The 19,575-nt window shown below is 39.7% G+C and overlaps 1 protein-coding gene and 1 pseudogene across 4 annotated transcripts in view; one reads left to right on the top strand and one right to left on the bottom strand.

Moving 5' to 3' along the window:
- GRHL2 (grainyhead like transcription factor 2) overlaps positions 1-19,575 on the bottom strand; it is a 188,762-nt gene that overhangs the window by 136,768 nt on the left and 32,419 nt on the right. For all 4 annotated transcript variants that reach the window (NM_001440447.1, NM_001330593.2, NM_024915.4 and 1 more), the window contains exon 2: positions 997-1,192. In NM_001440447.1, the coding sequence (NP_001427376.1) occupies positions 997-1,192 (196 nt within the window). The remainder of the gene's footprint in view (positions 1-996; positions 1,193-19,575) is intronic.
- LOC100131593 (SAP domain containing ribonucleoprotein pseudogene) lies at positions 14,842-16,016 on the top strand (annotated as a pseudogene).

The following is a 19,575-nucleotide window of genomic DNA, read 5'->3' as shown; positions in this document are numbered from 1 at the left end:
GTATATGGCAATTATATTTTTGAAATATAAGTGCATTACATTTATTTTGCCTTAAGACTTTTTCAAAATAAAAATTTACTACTCATCAAAACAAATGGAGAAAGTTAGGGTTGTAACAAAATTAGGTGTTGAAATTCCTGCAAAAGTCTTCCACGAAAGTGTTCACTGGAATGTTCCTTATAAAACTGAAAAATCTAGAAACCCTGAATGTTTCTAATAAATAGAAAAATCTAGAGGCAACCTAAATGTTCAACCACTGAGCAATAACTAAATTATGGTACAGCCACTGATATGGTTTGGCTCTGTGTCCTCACCCAAATCTCATCTTGAATTGTACTCCCATAATTCCCATGTGTTGTGGGAGGGACACTGTGGCAGATAATTTGAATTGTGGGAGCAGTTTCCCCCATACTGTTCTCGTGATAGCGAATAAGTCTCACAAGATCTGATGGTTTTATCAGGGGTTTCCACTTTTGCATCTTCTTCATTTTCTGTTTCCACTGCCGTGTAAGGAGTGCCTTTTGCTTCCTGCCATGATTCTGAGGCCTCCCCAGCCATGTGGAACTGTAAGTCCAATTAAACCGCTTTTTCTTCTCAGTCTCCAGTATGTCTTTATCAGCAGTGTGAAAATGGACTAATAAAGCCACTCAATGTAATATACTTCATTCAGCAAAAATAATAATCCTAAAGTAAACATAGCAACAAGGAAGTATTTGTAATATGGTAAGAATAATATGCAAATAATATTTATGCATGTGAACAAGGAACACAAAAAATATTATCCCAAAATGAGTACTTCCTCTGGATGGGTGATAAAGTTGAGCTTTGTAGATGGGGAAGCAGGGAGCAAGGAGAACAGGAAGAGGCTGAATTCTATATTGACTTTGGAAATGCTATTAGTTCCCTGGCCTGGGACAAACAATCTGTTCCTTCTTCCCACCAGCAAAGGGTTGTCCTGGAGCAGGAAGAAGAGAAAAGTGGAGGCTGGGGACCTACCTTGTAGTAGTCATAGAGCAGGCCGAGGGCAGCAGCACTGTCCTCATCACCATTAATGCTCATCATGGCCTTGGTGGCTGCTGTCAGGGGATTCTCCAAGTATGACTTCCAGGCTTCATCCTCACTGGTGTAGGCTCTTCGGGTATTGAATGGAGGGTCACTGGGCATGGGCACTAAGGCCACTAGTCTTTTATTACTGTAAAAACAAGAGAAATGTGAGGTTCATTTTCAGAGAGAGCAAATTTTTTACCCCTAATAATATACATATTACATGACTACAAACATTAATTTTTATTTCCCCAGAATGGGGGAGAAGGAAGGGAAGAAGTTTAAAGTTAAAGTGACAACTACTGATTTATTTTTTTACTGTCTATGAGAAGTAATAAGTCTTTAAAAAGTAGTACCAGTAGTATAAGTTGGTATTATGGTTTGAATGTTCATCACCTCCAAAACCTAAGTTAAAATTTAGTCAACATTGTGATGGTATTGGAAGGTAGGGCTCCCACATGGTGTTGAGCCCACTCATCTTTAAGAGGTGTTTAGGTCATGAATGGATCAATGCCATTATCAAAGGAGTGGGTTCATTGTGACTGAAATAGCTTCACCCCCTCTTGCTCTCTTTCCATCTTACTCTCTCTTTACCCTTCCATCTTTCCCCATAAGATGATGCAGCAAGAAGTCCTTGGTCAGATGCTGCCCCTTGATCCTGGACTTCTGGGCCTCCAGAATTGTGAGCCAATAAATTTCTACCCAGGGTCAGGTATTCTGTTATAGCAGCACAAAATTGACTAAAACAATTGGTCCTCTTCAAACTCAGAGCTCTGTATCCAGTCATTCTAGGGGCCAAGTAATTTTATTTATTTATTCTTTTTTTTTTTTTTCTGAGACGGAGTTTCACTCTTGTTGTCCAGGCTGGAGTGCAATGGTGCAATCTCGGCTCACTGAAACCTCCGCTTCCCAGGTTCAAGGATTCTCTGCCTCAGCCTCCCAAGTAAGTGGGATTACAGGCACCTGCCACCTTGCTTGGCTAATTTTTGTATTTTTAGTAGAGACGGCTGTTCTCAAACTCCTGACCTCAGGTGATCCATGTGCCTGGGCCTCCCAGAGTGCAAGGATTACAGGCATGTGCCACCACGCCTGGCCTAATTATTCTTTATTAATGAATGCAAGAATGGAACCCTAAGAGAGAGCAGGTTTCATTTAATTCTCTGAGTTCTCATTATAAATATGTGTAAGACATTGAATGTAATCAATATGCTAATGATTATTGAAAACTGTTTTATCTAGTTTAATCTATACTTGAAATTACTAGCAAATTATAGACCAACCCATGTCTCAATGTAAAAGGCAATGTAAGCTACTTTGCAAACACAGTGTATTCAGGTAATGCTGTGTAAAATGATATGGAACAGCAGTAATGAGACGGACTCTATTGTAGATCCTGTGCTACAACAGAATTCTACAATATTTAGGTGATATAAAAACTACAAGCTACAAAGACCATCATGGAAAGTGAGGGAGTCTATACGGGGAATTTACAGTAGAAACAGAAATGGGTGGGAGTCAATCAATCCTAACCAAGCCAGCCTTGCATAAAGCAGCAATTGACAAACAAGGCAATGTCTTCAGGTGAGTATGATGACTCAAGTACCCAAAGACCATGACAGTCCTCAGCATTTCCCCTGCTGGGTGCTCGGCTATCAAATAACAGAGCCTGCAGAGGTTTGGTCACTTCTCTCCTAGCCCTCATATGCTTGTTCATTGAAATGGAACCAACATGGAACAATGAGACATTGTATTTCAGTTAACACCTATGTCAGCACATCGTAACATGGCAGGGACATGTGACAAGGCTGGCAAAGGCAACACCAACATCAATCAATAGAAATTCAACTGCCAAGGACTTCTGATGATCATGCAGTCATAAAAGAGGTCCCTTTTTGCCAAGAACCAACATATGTTGGTGCAGATGTGGGAAAGGGAACAGTTATTTACTGTTGATAGGAATGTATATTAGTACAATCTCTATGGAAAACAGTATGGAGATTTTTCAAAGAACCAAAAGTAGATCTACCACTACTTCCAGCAATCCCATCGCTAGGTATTTACCCAAAGGAAAATAAGTCATTATATTAAAAAGACACCTCCACTTGTATGTTTATTACAGCACAATTCACAATGGCAAAGATATGGAAAAAAACATATGTACCCATCAATCTATGAGTGGTTAAAGAAAACATGGTGTACACACACACACACACACACACACACACACACACACACACACACCATGAAATAGTACTCAGCCATTAAAAAAGAATGAAAGGAGGTCTTTTGCAGCAACAGTGACGGAACTGGAGGCCACTATCCTAAGTGAAGTAGCTCAGGAACAACAACAACAAAAAACAAATACTACATGTTCTCACTTATAAGTGGGAGCTAAGCAGCTATGGGTATGCAAAGGCAAACAGAGTGATATAATAAACATTGGTACAATGTACACTATTCAGGTGACAGGTGCATTAAAAGCCTAGACTTCATCACTATACAATGCATCCACGTAACCAAAAACCACCTGTACCCCTAAAGCTATTGAAATGAAAAATATAGAAATAAAATAAAATAAAATGGAAAATAAAAAAAGACTAAAAAAAAGAGGTCTATTTTTGCTGACATTCCTATGGGATCTCCTAATGGTAGATGGTTCCTCAGCTCACTTTGTGATGGAGAACTGGCGTGAACTCACAATGAAAAGTGTGTCAAGGGCCCTTTGTGTGCTGTCATGATGCATGCTTTTGTGTCAGGTCAGAAAAAAAGACACTGACATTGGTAAGATATGTTTGGGGTGGGGCAGATGGGAAATGCACGTTTAGCAGAGTGGAATTCCGGTCGCTAGGCCTCTGAGTCAGGCTCTTTGAGCCAGTGGTTTGGTGAAACTGATTGGAAGGAAAGAGAGAACATTGACTCAATTGCAAATGAGTTAGATTACAAGGGTATAATCAGGCTTCTTGGAATACATGAGAAAACACCCTGGTTGGCAGGCTTACTACCATACTGTTAGGCACTGTGGTGACATGAAGTAGTATAGGCCTTAGAAGTAAGTATTTGTTCACCATTTACAGTGGTGAGAAGCTGGGTAATGTCTAACGTTCACTTTCTTAAATAATTCAGTGCCTACTTACCTTACAATGTGCTTATGAAGATCAAATAAAATAATTGATAAAATAGGATTCTGCAAACTGCATAGTACTTTGCAAATAACAGGTATGACTATCACTGCACAGTTTTATGTTCCCATAAAATTTGTGGATATATCAATTTTTGGTAAAGTTGAGTATAATTTAAAAGTCTTAAAGATAATCATTAATTGAAGGGAAATTGAAGTTGTTCATTCAACAATATTCTTTAAATATTTATTGAGAGCCCAATAGTTGCCAGACATTGTGCTGGTTGTTAAGGATGGAGTGGCACGTGACATAATGTTCTTTACCCCACGTACCTGCCAGAGAGAGAGAATATCACTATCACAGGGCCATGCGTGTGAGAAAGGACATGGGTGGTGCTGTGAGGGCACACGACAGAGGGGACTAACCTAATGACAGGACAAATAAGGGGCCAACATTTCTAAACAAAGCTGAAGCATAGGTAGGAATGTGCTGGTCAATGCTGAGATGGTGAGATGTGGGAAATGCTTTTTAAAGTGAAGGATACTTTGGTAGTGCAGAATAATGGGATTTTCTTACAAAAGGAGCATATTTGTATTTATTTTGGAGAGTCCATTAGAAAAATTTACATATTTAATCTAATGATAAAATAGCATTTCCATGTAGAAAACTTCTAAATATGCAGGGTTGGATTTGGAGACAGGATATGCTGGTGGACTCCTGAGGTTCTATAATGAGGCCTCCAGAAAGAACTAAGAAGGTAGCAGAGGTGGTGGGCCCTGGCTGTGACAATGTCACCGGCCCCCCACGATTGATTAGTTGGGGCCACCCTCGGTGCCTGGTCTGCAGCCTCCACTTGGAGAGTAAAACAGAGGATTTGGAACCTCAGTCGTTGCCCATGAAGGCACAGGCATGCACACTTCCAAAAATGCCCAGTCCTGCAGGAAGGACTTCATGTTATTGGGAGTGATCACACCATTGAAAAGGATGAGGATTTTACTCTGTCATGCCTCAGAGACGCACACATTGCTGTGGAGGAGTGCAGGTGGGGTGAGGTGTTAATTATAACACTGGCTAAATTCCAAAAGTTTAGCAGGAAGCACCAAGCTGAAGGATCAGAGCCAAGTCTCGATTTACACTAAGATGTGTCCTGATTCACTGGAGGGATTTTTCCCTAAATCTTCCTTCTTGAAATCCCTACTCCCTCCTGCTGAGTCTCTTAGCTTGCTGATTTCATCTTTCCTAGCACAAAGCTTTGCTCATAAATTTAAGAGCGCCATCAGCCTTTCCCCTAAAATGAAATTGTTGATGAATCCTTACGTGATCAGTGGAAAAAGTATTTTGGGAAATCACAACATTATTAGCTGTTTCTTTTCACATTCTTGGCAGCCACAGGGGCCTTTTATGCTCTTCCCTTTAACTATGCAATGAATTTGGTTTTCTCTTCACAAATTATAATCTCTCTGGTACACAGCACTGTTGAATGAAGTTTAATTTAATAAAAACAGAATAATCTCTCTGGTACACTGAGCAAAAATGTAGACTTGTAAAGAAAGGAAAGTTTCACAGAACAACTTTCACCACAGTTAGGAACACTCTGAAGCTGTTTTATCATTGCTCTTTTGGAAGGGCAATTCTAATTCTGCTCTGGTCCGCTTCTTAAATATCCTTTGTGAAGCTTTAGGTGGGCTATGTCCTGGGTAGCCTCAAACACAGAACGGTAAACAGCAACTGTAAACTCGATCCCAAGGTCCTGCTTTGGAGGAAAATTTTGGGGATCGCCAGAGCAATCACAGCAAGGCTAAGGCCATGTCACACAGACAACTTTTTTTTTTTCTTGTTCGTTTTCTTTAATCCATGACTTCTCTGTGTGGATGCTGGGAGATGGCTGAGAGATGAGTCATCAGCTGAAGTGATGAAAGGGACCATGCAGCTGTGCCACTGAGACCAAGACCAGCCAGTCTCCAAGGCTCCAGATCATTCTGCCTGGACAGCCCCCTCCATGCTCCCCTGAGTATAATAGCAGTCAAATGCAGGAATGCTTTGCTGGGGAGAAGCAGAGGAAGCTTAACACATAACATTTTCCCCGTCTAAAGATATGTGCAGTTATGGTCAACAGATCCAGACACAAATCCACTTATAAAGACACTTGGGATCCAAAACAAAAACTAGGACAGTGCCCGTCACGCAATGCATGTTCATGGGAAACCCCGTTCTAAACCATTAGTGGATGATCTGCTTCCGGGTCAGGGCTTCTTATGTAACAGGGCAGCTCCCTCACTGTGATCTGTTGAAAATCAGCCCTAGACACAAGGGTTTGTAGAGAACAAAAACAAAGGAAAGAAAAGAAATTTTTTTAAAAAAGAAAATAACAAAGGAAAAAATTAGGATGGTGAAGTATGCACACAAATTATTACTTTTAATCAACTTCTCATATCCATTTCTACAAGGACATTGGTTTGTTTGTGTTTTATGGAATTTTTGTCTTGATATAGGGGGAGGATGCTTTTGGAGTTGGGTAACTTCGGTTTAAATCTCAGCTCTATCAATGAGTGAATTTAGATGAGTTGCTCATCTCCTTGATGAGCAGGTGTCTCTTTGAGCTTCCATTTCTTCCTCTGTATCATGATATTTTATAATATTATTCTAAAGGAATCACTCAGATATTTACATTTGAAGTGCTTGGTGCATTATAGATCTTCCACAGATAATAGTTAGATAGTAGTAGTACGCTCCATAGAACTAATTCTACTAATAACCAGCTCAAAGTCCAATGGACTGTTTTCAGGTCTTAACTCCTTGAATTTTCTTGGCCATTTTTTTGCTTTTGTAAAATCCTGCTTTACTTGTGAGACACTATGCTAAGGTGGTTCTTCTCTTTAGCCAACCATTCTTTCCTAATTTCTGTTCTACCTGTTCTCCTCTTCTTTCTTTAACTCTGACCATTCCTTGGTATTTTTCTTATTTCTCTACATCATTGTTCTTACAGCTTTCATTGCTCTACTTTAATGACTAACAGATATATAGTACCTGAGAACCATTTCTGTATTTCTACATAGAATCCTTTTGTCATGGAATCAACCTAAATGCCCATCAATAGAAGAATGGATAAAGAAAATGTGGTACATATACATCATGGAATACTATGCAGCCATAAAAAAGAACAAGATCATGTCCTTTGCAGGAACATGGATGGAGCCAGAGGTTATTATCCTTAAACTAACACAGGAATAGAAAACCAAATACTGCATGTTCTCACTTATAAGTGGGAGCCAAATGATGAGAACAAATGGACTCAAAGAGACAAACAACAGACACTGGTGCCTACCAGAGGGCGGGGGGTGAGGGGAGGGGAGGAAGAGGAGCATAAAAAATGACTATTGGGTACTAGGCTTAGTACCTGGGTGATGAAATAAGCTGTACATCAAACTCTTGTGACATGAGTTTACCTATATAACAGACCTGCACATGTACCCCTGAATGTAAAATGAAAGTTAAAAAGAAAAAAAGAATCTTGCTGTCAATTTAAAATCAATGTCTTCAACACTAAGCTAATCATCAGTTCTCAACCAGGCACTCCTCATCATTATCTGTCCCCAGTCACTCAAGGCTGAACCTTATGTACCGTTTTAATATTCAGACTCTGAAGCCAGACTGCCTGGGTGCAAATCTTGGCTGCACCACTTATTGGCTGTGTTACCCTGGATTACTTAGTTAACCTTTCTGTGTATCAGTTTCTTCACCTATAAAATGGAGAAGTATCCCAATGTAGACAGAATAATGATATTCACTTCCTACTATTTTTGTCAGAATTAAATATACTGACACACTATAAAAGCTGCATACATGCTAGCTATTATTCTTTCTCTTTATCCCTTACATGAAGTCAATCACCGTATTTATTATTACAGCTCCAGTCTTATCTCTTCATGCCTTCAACTTTCCCCTCTTTGATCCATATTGAAGGCTAGTGAAATAATCTTCATAGAACATAACTTTTTCAGAGTATACTATGACTCTTTACTGCCTATAACATCAAGTCCAAAATCCTCTGTCTGACATTTAAGGTCTTCCATTATCTGGTTCCAACCTACTTTTCAAAATTTACTTCCTTGTACTTATTTAATTTAAGGAATTAAGCCATTTTCTCTGCAGCTTCCTAAAGATGCCCATTCTTACTTCTATACCTTTGCTCAGACTGTTCCCCTGCCTGAAATTCCCTTCCTGCTTCTCTGTCTAAATTGTGCTCTTATCAAAGTCCAGCTGCAACATCCCATCCTCCAGAAAATTTTCCAGGATTTTCCCTATTTTAATCTTTCAGGGCCTCCCTTTGCTAAAAATTTTCACAGCCTATGTGTTATTTATTACATAATCTACCATTTAATTTGTATCATGCAAAGATGACTGACTATGCAAAGAAAACTGTCACTGAAGGCCAGGTGCACTGGCTCATGCCTGTAATCCCAGCACTTTGGGAGGCCAAGGCGGGTGGATCACCTGAGGTCAGGAGTTCGAGACCAGCCTGGCCAACTTGGTGAAACCCTGTCTCTACTAAAAATACAAAAAATTAGCCAGGTGTGGTGGTGCGCGCCTGTAATCCCAGCTACTTGGGAGGCTGAGGCAGGAAAATTGCTTGAACCTGGGAGGCGGAGGCTGTAGTGAGCCAAGATCAAGCCACTGCACTCCAGCCTGGGCAACAGAGTGAACTCTGTCTCAAAAAAAAGAAAAAAGAAGAAAGAGAAAAAGGAAAACTGTCACTGAGCTGTCAGATCCAAGAATGACACCAAAACAGTGGCATTCCATCAAATAAAAAGCCCGGCAGCTCCCATGCACAGTCACTGGCCTTTGTCCTGCCTTGGATTCACAACAGCCTGGCTTCACCCTGGGATCTGGAAAACCTTCTTCTCTAGCTTAGTCTTTGGCTTTCTTCTAGAAGCACGAAACTCTACTTCATCCCCAAGTGCATTCACACACACACACACATCTCCCTGAGTAAATTAACACACCTACACACTCAGACTGGCCTTAGGCTCTTACATCTAAAGTGTGTCAGATTGTTTGTAGAAAATGTTAACACACACAAAGGTTAACTAAGTTGTCCAGGGTAACACAGCTACAAAATACATCCAGAATGTGACCACAGGAGATGGTCGTTGAGTCAAATCCCTATCATATAGAACTTTACCAGCCCTATCACATAGAACAAGTGATTCAACCTGTCTGGATCTTAGCTTTCGCATTTGTGAAAGAGCTGATAAATTAAATGAGAGAAATGCATGTGATGTACCTGGCAGAGCACTAGACACAGAGTAGTGCCCTCTAATTGGGCCGTGATGAGGATTAGAGAAGAGCAAGATAAATAATATAGGGAAGCCAAACATCTGCTCTTCAATCACCACCACACAACACTTTAAATCCTTATCTGCCCTCAGCCTTTCCTGTCTCTGTTGGTGAAAACTCTACCCTTCTAGTTGCAATACTTGAAGTCATACTTGATTCCTCATTTTCTTACATCCACTTCATTAGAAAATCCCATTGGTTCTATTTTCAAAATATATCCAGACTCTGACCACTTCTCACTACCTCCACTGCTAGCACCCTGGTCCAAGCCACCATCATCTTGCACTTGGATTATTGCACTGTCTCTGTGGTAGCCAGCCTCCCATATGGCCCTCATTGATCCTTGACTCCTAGAATTCACACCCTCGTGAGTCCTCTCCCACACTGGACCAGGGTTGGTCTATATGACCAATAGGACATAGCAGAAGTGATATTATATTACCACAGAGTTAGATAATAAAACTCTGCAGCTTCCATCTTTGTAAGTCTCTCCCCTACTCCCACCCCATCCCCTTGTGCTAGCAAACTACCATATCATGGCATATTTTGGCAAGGAACTGAAGCCTTGACAAACAGCCGGTGAGGAACTGAGGGCTGCCCACAACCAGGTGAGTGAGCCTAGTAGACTCTCCTGTCTGAGTCAAGTCTTGAATCAATTATGAACCCAGATGACAACTTGACTGCCACTTTATGAAACCCTGAGCCGGAACCTCACAGCTAAGCTGCTCCCAGATTCCTCAGAAAGTGCATGAGATCATGAATGTATGCTAGTTTAGCTGCTAAGTTTTGAGATAGTATGTTACACAGGAATAGAAAATGAATACAGTTTCCTAATAGGTTTCCCTGCTTTTATGATTACCCGCTCCCTCCTTTCCAGTCTATTCTCAACAAAACAGCATCTAGAGAAATCCCATTGAAACAAAATCACATCATGCCCTCTCGTGCTCAATTCTGTAATGACTCCCCTTTTCCTTTAGAATAGAAGTGATGGTTGTTACAATGACCTACCAGGTCCCCCAGGATCATGGGTCCCTTACTTCTACAGTCTATTCTCCCCATACTCTCCTTCTCACTCATTCTCATCTTGCTGCACTGGTCCCACCTTAAGGCCTTGACTTCAGCTGTTTCATCTTCCCAGAATGTTCTTCCCCCAAATACCTAAGGCTAGCTCTCTCATCTCCTTTAAGCTTTTGTCCAAATCTCACCTTAATGAGACTTAACCTGACTACCCTATTTAATGCAGCAACCTGCTTCCACCCATGCTGGAATTTCCAATTCCTTTAAAACTTTCTATCTCCCTTACCCAGCTCTCGACTCTTTCTTTTTTCCATAACAGCCATCACCTCCTTAAACACAATGTAACTTACTTTTTTATTATGGTCAATGTTCCTTGTGTGTCTACCTCCGCTAGAACCTAAGTTCCACAGGGCTGGGGTTGTTTTGTTCATGAATATATCACAAGCACCTTGAACAGTGCCTGCGACATACTTGGTAGTCAATTAACATCTGTTAAATGAATGAATAAAAGCTCCATTGCCATTGAGGAATTGAAGTAAAAGTTATGGCTTAAAATATTAATAAGAGAATGGGAGGAGCTGCATTCTTCAGGTTTTCATAAAATCAATTCACAGCATATTTGTAAAGTTGGTTTTGAGCTATAAAGTGCTATGCAAATGTAAGTTGCCTTGATTTTAGGAAGCATAATTATAAATTTAATTTAATAAGCATCAATCCAATTTGAACTATCTTTCTCCTCCCTCTTAACTCTCCCCTTCAAATTTAAAAAAAAAAGTGGAGATTCATTCTTCTATTCTCCTTAAATGTGACCTAGGAAACCAAGGATATTTACATTTGGACCTGAGGTAACTGGAGGGGAAGGCTAAACTTCAATCAGCAAAGGCCTGATATTAAGAATTCCTTTCGTCTACCTGTTGTCCATCATTCCCAAAACTGACTTGACTTGGGGCAAAAAGAAATTTCTACCCACTACCCTTTCCTTAAGAAGAAGTAATGAAACATTTATATAATTTCCAGGATTTCATGCTATGTACTCTGTCTCAACTGTCCTCTCCCCCACCTCTTTCTCTTTCTCTCTCTATCTCTCTCTCACACACACACACAAGCATAGCCTTTATCTTGAGAGCACATGAATTCTACTCTCTCTTTTTTTTTTTTTTGTGAGATGGAGTCTCGCTCTGTCCCCCAGGCTGGAGTGCAGTGGCATGATCTCGGCTCACTGCAACCTTCACCTCCCAGGTTCAAGCAATTCTCCTGCCTCAGCCCCCCCGCCGAGTAGCTGGGATTGCAGGTGCATGCCACCACGCCCAGCTAATTTTTGTATTTTTAGTAGAGACAGGGTTTCACCATGTTGGTCAGGCTAGTCTTGAACTCCTGACCTCGTGATCCGCCCACCTTGGCCTCCTAAAGTGCTGGGATAACAGGCATGAGCCACCGCGGCCAGCTGAATTCTACTCTCTAAATAGTTTATATTCTGAGTCTTGAGCACTTGAGATTGGTCTCATTTTCTTGTAGCTGATTCACTACGGCTGATTACTGACTTAAGTAATCACTTCATCTCCCTAGCAGAAAAATGACCATATTCAGACCAAAAATGAAAGAGCAAAGGTTCAAAATGTGATAACTACTTTTTTCTTTTGGAATATTGGCCTTTTTCCCATTAACAGAATAAGACTTTCAAATGGAAATTAATGAACCAATTTTCCTACCCAGGGTTAATGTCACAATTTAAATGCCACAAATGATTGTTTGACTGCTAGTTGCTTTCAGCAATATCCCTCCTTTTAGTGCTTGCTAGAGGCAAATCACAAGAGATAACAGATACTTTCCATGTTAGAAGTGAAATGAATCCATAAGCCCAGGACGATATTGATAGCTTCACGTTAAAGATGGCTATGCTCGGGAAAGAGAAGATTCAATTAATTCAGTGAAAATATTATAATGCCCTCCACCACATAAAGTGCATAGTTTTTAAAAACAATAAACTGTAAAACAAAATTTATGTCCATTGAAATTAAGATGGTTTCGTTTTAGATACTGATTGCAAAATATACTGATCTACTACTTGAAGCATGGTCTCTCTCTCTCTCTCCCCCACCCCCTCTCGGGAGCCCCAGCTTTGTAGTGCCCTAAGCATGCTCTTACTTCACCTATTAAGTAAAAGGATTGGAAATAAAACTAAAGAGCTACAGGAAAGGTAACCCACTGAGCTCTAGAAACAATGAGAAGGATATAACAATAGAAAGTGAAAGGAAGAGGACAAGAAAAGAATTTAAAAATGGAGAGAATTTGTAGAGATGGCAACTTATGAAATGACTAAAATTGGTTAGTGTGTGTGTGTGGTGTGTGTGTGTGTGTAAATCAAAATCTAAAATGTTGACAATGATTATAGGTGAATTTTTATTTTCTCCTTTCTACTTTTTGACTTGTCAAGTAATCTTCAACAATACCATCATACTACTTATTGAGCATCCACTATATGCCAGCTAATGTTCTAAGCCCCTCACATGGGTTAACTCATGTATTCGTTATGTTAATAATAAACTTAGAGTCAGATATGGATATCATGCCCTTCATACAGATGAGTAAATTGAGAATAGAGTGTTAAGTAACTTGCCCAGGTTCAGGTAGCAGTCAGCATTAGATCAGCATTGCATCCAAGTGCCTGAGTTCTCTTTTTTTTTTTTTTTTTTGAGATAAGGTCTTGCTCTGTCCTCCAGGCTAGAAGGCTAGAGGAGTGCAGTGGCACAATCATGGCTCACTGCAACCTGAACCTCCCAGGCTCAAGTGATCCTCCCACCTCAGCCTCCAGAGTGGTCCATCATGCCTGACTAATTTTTTTATTTTTGTAGAGACAAGGTCTCCCTACATTGCCCAGGCTGGTCTTGGACTTCTGAGCTCAAGTGATCCACCTGCTTCAGCATCCCAAAGTGCTGGGATTACAGGTGTGAGCCACCACGCACAACCTCGGAGCCTGAGTTCTTATGCATCCTTCTCTATTTCCTACTCTTGACCATGCTCTATTTTCACAATTAGAAAAAAGTTAGTTGAAAAGGGAAAACTCATAAACAGACAGGATACAAAAGACCAATATAACAGAGGATGATATCCAAATTCAGAGTAATAGAGAAATTATGCAAAAGCGGAGTTTGTAAGCTCCCTGAAGAAAGACAACAAGTTTACATTATTTGTAGAATTCCAAGGTCCTGGAACAATCTAGAGAGTACATATCAGGCAGGAAAGCAGGCAACACATATTTATTGAATGAATTGAATGGGGTGATGGGTAGCAAGTCCTAATTTATCTTTAGTATAATACAACTAGAGGTCATCTATTTTTAAATGTCCTGCAGAAAAATGATAGCAAATGATTCATGTAACAGAAATATAGATTAAAGAATTGGGAAATAAGGGAACTATTATATTTAAGAGCAAACAAAAATATGATTTTTAAAGGAAAGAATTATGTTATAACCAAATTAGCTTTGAGAATTAAAGAGAGAGTCAGTTTTTCTGAGGAAATTACAGCAGTTGAATCTCTAGCAGTAAGAGAGAAAGCACAAAAGCACTTTACAAGCCTGCAGGACCGATTTCCATTTAAACACCATTTCATGGGTTTACCTCTAATGTTTACAGCCAATATGGAAAAGAAATGTTAATGCAATTCTAGGGGATAGAAAGCAGAAGAGACTGGAATAAAGGAAAAGCCAGAGTTGAGAAGGCTGCACCCCACCTTTGGTGCAGGAGGGGTTAATGTGTGCTTGAGGACTGTTTTTCTCTCTGAGCTTGGAAAACTCAAGTCTTCAGTGCCTATGGCTAAGCCAGTTCCTGTACAGTGTGCCCAATGGAACTAACTACAACATTAGTTGGCTTCTTAAATACAGAGGAGTCCGCCTTTGGGGTTCCTAGGGCCAGAGAGAGAAATAACATGGTAAAACACCTAGAGTAACTTCAAACTGCCACAAAGGCAACAGACAAAAAACATGAGCTTAAAGCAACAGGAAAGTCCTTTCGTGTGTCTAACCCCCAGCTTACCCTGCTGGGCCTCACTTGTATATATACAAAGGACCCTCCAGGCATCCTCAGAGCCTGTGGCCAGAGCTTCCATCAAGAGAGCGGCCCCCTGCCAGGGCTGAAAGGTCTTCAGTCTAACTCTTCACTTTTAATATGAGAACTGAGAATGTAAGGAAATTTAAGGAAACCTTACATGAGTAAAAGAGAAGCCCCAAGATGAGCAAAAAAGGTTATTTATGAGGAAAATAATTAATGCTAAATACAGAAAATAATGTTAAAAGGAAGATACTTGAGAGGCAGTGGGTGGGGGCCTACTGGAGTGAGGGGTAACAAGATGGCGACCAAGACGGTGGTGCACCATAAGTGGAAGATTGCTGAACTAAAGCAAGAATGTCTTCCTTGTGGTTTGGAGACCAAGGAAATGAAACAAGATGCCATCAAAAGGCTCCAGGCACTTTTTTTTTTTTTTTGAGAGGGAGTCTTACTCTGTTGCCCAGGCTGGAGTGCAGTGGTTCAATCTTGGCTCACCACAACCTCCGCCTCCCGGGTTCAAGCGATTATCCTGCCTCAGTCTCCCGAGTAGCTGGGACTACAAGCACATGCCACCATGCCAGGCTAATTTTTGCATTTTTAGTAGAGATGGGGTTTCACTATGTTGGCCAGGCTGGTCTCGAACTCCTGACCTCATGATCCGCCCACCTTGGCCTCCCAAAGTGCTGGCTCCAGGCATATTTTTCAGGGCATGCTGAAGAGGCAAATGAAGATGTACTGGGAGATGAAACAGAGGAAGAAGAAACAAAGCCCCATAGAAATCCCTGTCAAAGAGGAAGAACTCCCTGAAAAAACTGTTGACGTGGAAGCAGAGAAGAAAGTGGTAAAAATTACATCTGAAATACCACAGGGAGAGAGAATGCAGAAGAGGGCTGAACAAGTCCATGTACCCGTGAGCTTGTAAAGTAAGAAAACTGCCCGGGCAGCTAGGTTTGGGACTTCTTCAGTTTCAACAAAAGGTCTGTCATCTAACAACAAACCTATCATGAACCTGGATAAGCTAAAGGAAAGAGCTCAAAGATTTGGTTTGAATGGCTCTTCAATCTCCAGAAAGTCTGAAGATGATGAGAAACTGAAAAGGAGGAAGGACTGATTTGGGATTATCACTGGTTCAGCTGGAACCAGAAGGAACACAGAGGATACAGAGGCAAAGAATAGGAAAAGAGCCTCGCGCTATGGGATTGCCTGCTGAAAAGTTCATGCTGCTTTCTGTTCTCCAGTGGTTTCCATTTCTGTGATTCTTCTCGGTCACAAATATACCTAAATGCACAGTCACGTACCTACCTCCTGCCTTGCAATGAGGGCACATGTTCCCCAGCTACATGTGGGAACTCCAGCAGCAATTTGACTTATTGATGTTCCAACTTAAAGCTGTTGTGTTTTTGTTTTTGATTTTTTGCTTGTTAGTTAAAAAAAAAAAAAATCTGAAAAGAGACGGGGGTAAAAAGAAGCTACTGCACCTACAACACAAGCACAGGCTACTAGAAACCAAGAACCACAAAACAAGTTACATGATTTTTAGAATAAAAATAAAAGTTTGTACGAGGACTGAATAGGAAAGACAGCACAAAATGAATTAATAAACTGAGCAATCAAAGCATTGTCCAGTTTTTAAACAAACAAAAAATCATAAGACAAAGTTAAAAGGTATGCAGGATGATTACAGGTATAAAGTTCAATTTAACAAGAGTTACAGAAGAAAGCAGTGAAGAGGATGAAAGGGAAGAAACAAATACACAAAAGAAGACTAGAATAGAGTAGAATAATAATGTCTTACAGCTGAAAAAAAACTTGAGTATTGGCAAGGCACCGAAGTGTTGGAAAGAATAATGAAAAAGTGGCACTTCTATTCATATCCTGGTGACATTTTTGGGTTGAAGATTAAATTTAAAAATGCTACAAATACTGGGAAAAAACTTAAGTAACATTCAACAGAACAGAACTAGAAACTGCCAGCCAATAAACTTCTCATCCATATCACTAAATGCTGCTAGACAAGAGGAAAGGGATTTGAACATGAAAGTCTAAACAGAGCAAAAGATCAATAAAGTGTGATGGCAAAATAAAATACCTGTTTAGTCGTGAAAAGATTCAAAAACGATTCCACTCATATATCCCTTTTGAAAACTTTATCCCTTCAGCCAAAGTAAAGAAAGAGATGCATGGATAAAGAAGAAAATTGATACAGCCATCAGAGAATATCAAATAAGTCAGTAAAATATTAATTGTAGCTGATTTCTGATCACAGAAATGAAATGTATGCCACTAAGAAAGAATTCTTAAATATAATACCAAACTAAAATAAAACACCTGAGAGGTGACAGGAGAAGAGTTGTTTAAAAGGTGTAGTGGGCCCAGCACAGTGGCTCATAGCTATAATTCCAGTGCTTTGGGAGGCCAAGGTGGGAGGATTGCTTGAGGCCAGGAGTTTGAGACCAGCCTGGGCAACAAAGCAAGACTCTGTCTCTACAAAAAAATTTTTTATGTAATAATGAGGTAAAATAAAAAGCATGTTGATTTTGCTTTGTACGTAAGGAGAGTAATACATAATGGTTAACTCCTGATATTGATAGAAAAGATAAGTTTATGCTTATTAAAAGTTCAAGGGTAACAATTACTAGGATAAAGATAGGATATAGAAATTAAAGAGCAACAATTTCCATAGTATGGTGTGCAGACACCTAGAGAAATCACTTAGATACTTTCAAGGGTTTATGAGTTTAAAACTATTTCCCTAATAATACTGAGATATATGTGCCTTATTCCCTCTGTTGACATTTGTAGTAATGGTATAAAACTAATGTTGGGCAAAAGTTCAAGCTTCTGACATGAATAAAGACAGCGGCATTAAACTATACTTGAGGTATTATATTTTTATCATCACATACAATAAAAACAAAACAAGCAAACAAACAAGCAAATACGTGCTAGTTTCACTTGAGAATGTCCTTCATGAAGCAGTATAGAATATTAATTTTATTAACCTCACACTTTGGGTACCAATCTTTTTAATATTCTGTGTGACAAAGCAGGAAGTACGTGTAAAGCACTTTGACTGCATACCGAAATACAGCAATTGCCTCAAGGAAAAGCACTCGTGCAGTGCTTTGAGTAGGAGTTGAAACTAGCTGCTTTTTTTAAGGGATTCCATTTTTACCTGAAAGAATGACATATTGACAAACTACGTGTTCAGACTTGAGTGTTTGGCTGATGTCTTCTCAAAAATAAACCAAGCGAGAGTCTATCACTTCACAGAAAACAACAGACAGTATTTGTTGCCAATGGTAAAATTTGAGCTTTCAAGCAAAAAAAAAAAAAAAAAAAAAGGAAAAAAAGAAAATTTTTGGAAACTTGCATCCACCACTACTGATAACTTTCTAGTACTTTATTTTCTGATGAGGTTAATGGATATAATTTTTTGCTAATGTATCATGAAGCACATTAACATTTGGAAAATCCAAATAACTCAGTCAACCAATAATTCCAAATGCCAATGCATGATGTTATAGAATAACACACAATATAAGTTCTATTCAAAGTGCAAGACAAGCCTATAGATTTTAATGTAACAGAGAAAGTTCAGTGTATGATTTCAGTTTCCACATTGCAATTAACCTTTAAAAACTACCAGTTTTGAATTTTGGTGAGGTATCAAAGAATATATAGTTATATGAAAATATATTTTCCTTTTCCAACTATCAGTGTGAAGCAGGATTCTCTAACCAAAATAACATTTTGTAATAGATTGAATGAAGAGGCAGATGTGAGAATCTAGCAGTCATCTGCTAAGCCAGGCATTAAAGAAAGTTGCAAAAATGTGAAATAACACTACTCTTCTCATTAAATTCGTATGTTTTGAAAATTTTAGTTTGGGTTTTACTTTTCTGAAACAGAGTCTTGCTCTCTTGCCCAGCTGGAGTGCAGGGGCATGATCTCAGCTCACTGTAACCTCCACCTCCTGGGTTCAAGCCATTCTGCCTCAGCCTCCCGAGTAGCTGGGATTACAGACATGTGCCACCACACCCAGCTAATTTTTGGTAATTTTTGTAGAGGTGGGGTTTTACCATGTTGGCCAGGCTGGTCTCAAACTCCTGACCTCAAGTGATCCACCCACCTCGGCCTCCCAAACTGCTGGGATTACAGGCATGAGCCACCACACCCAACCAGTTATGTTTCATTTCAAAAATGTTATTTCAAGCCGGGTGTGGTGGTACACACCTGGAATCCCAGCTACTTGGGAGGCTGAGGCATGAAGATGGCTTGAATCCAGGAATTCAAGACCAGCCTGGGCAATATATCAAGATATCATCTCAAAAAGAAAAAAAAAAGGTTAAAAAGCATAATAATGAAATAAAACAATATGTTAATATGCTTTATAACTATCACATGGTTTACAATTATTATTTTAATTGAGCCATAAATAAGTATTTTTTAAAATTTACTGTCTTTAATTTTTCATATGATATATATCAATAGATATAACCCACATAAATACAAACTCTTCTGGGACTTCAATAATTTAAGAGTATTAAAGAAATTCTGAGAACAAAAATTTGAGAAGCACTGCTCTAGAAAATAACCAGAGAAAAATAATGAAAAAAGATATATTAGCCAGGCACAGTGGCTCACACCTGTAATTCCAGCACTTTGGGAGGCCAAGGCAGGCAGATCACCTGAGGTCAGGAGTTCGAGACCAGCCTGACCAACATGATGAAACCCTGTCTCTACTAAAAATACAAAAATTAGCTGGGCCTGGTGGCCAGTGCCTGTAATCCCAGCTACGCAGGAAGCTGAGGCAGGAGAATCGCTTGAACCTGGGAGGCGGAGGTTGTGGTGAGCCGAGATCGCGCCATTGCACTCCAGCCTGGGCAACAAGAGCAAAACTCCATCTCAAAAAAAAAGATATGTTGATCAATGCAACAAAAATAAACAAAAATAAAAATAATGGTATGGCATAGAAAAAACAAGACTCTATATATCAGCAATTATAATAT

Source organism: Homo sapiens, chromosome 8 (genome assembly GCF_000001405.40).
Source record: "Homo sapiens chromosome 8, GRCh38.p14 Primary Assembly".
NCBI lineage: Eukaryota > Metazoa > Chordata > Mammalia > Primates > Hominidae > Homo > Homo sapiens.
Note: the sequence above shows the minus strand (reverse complement) of the source record. Positions and strands in the feature narration are given on the sequence as shown.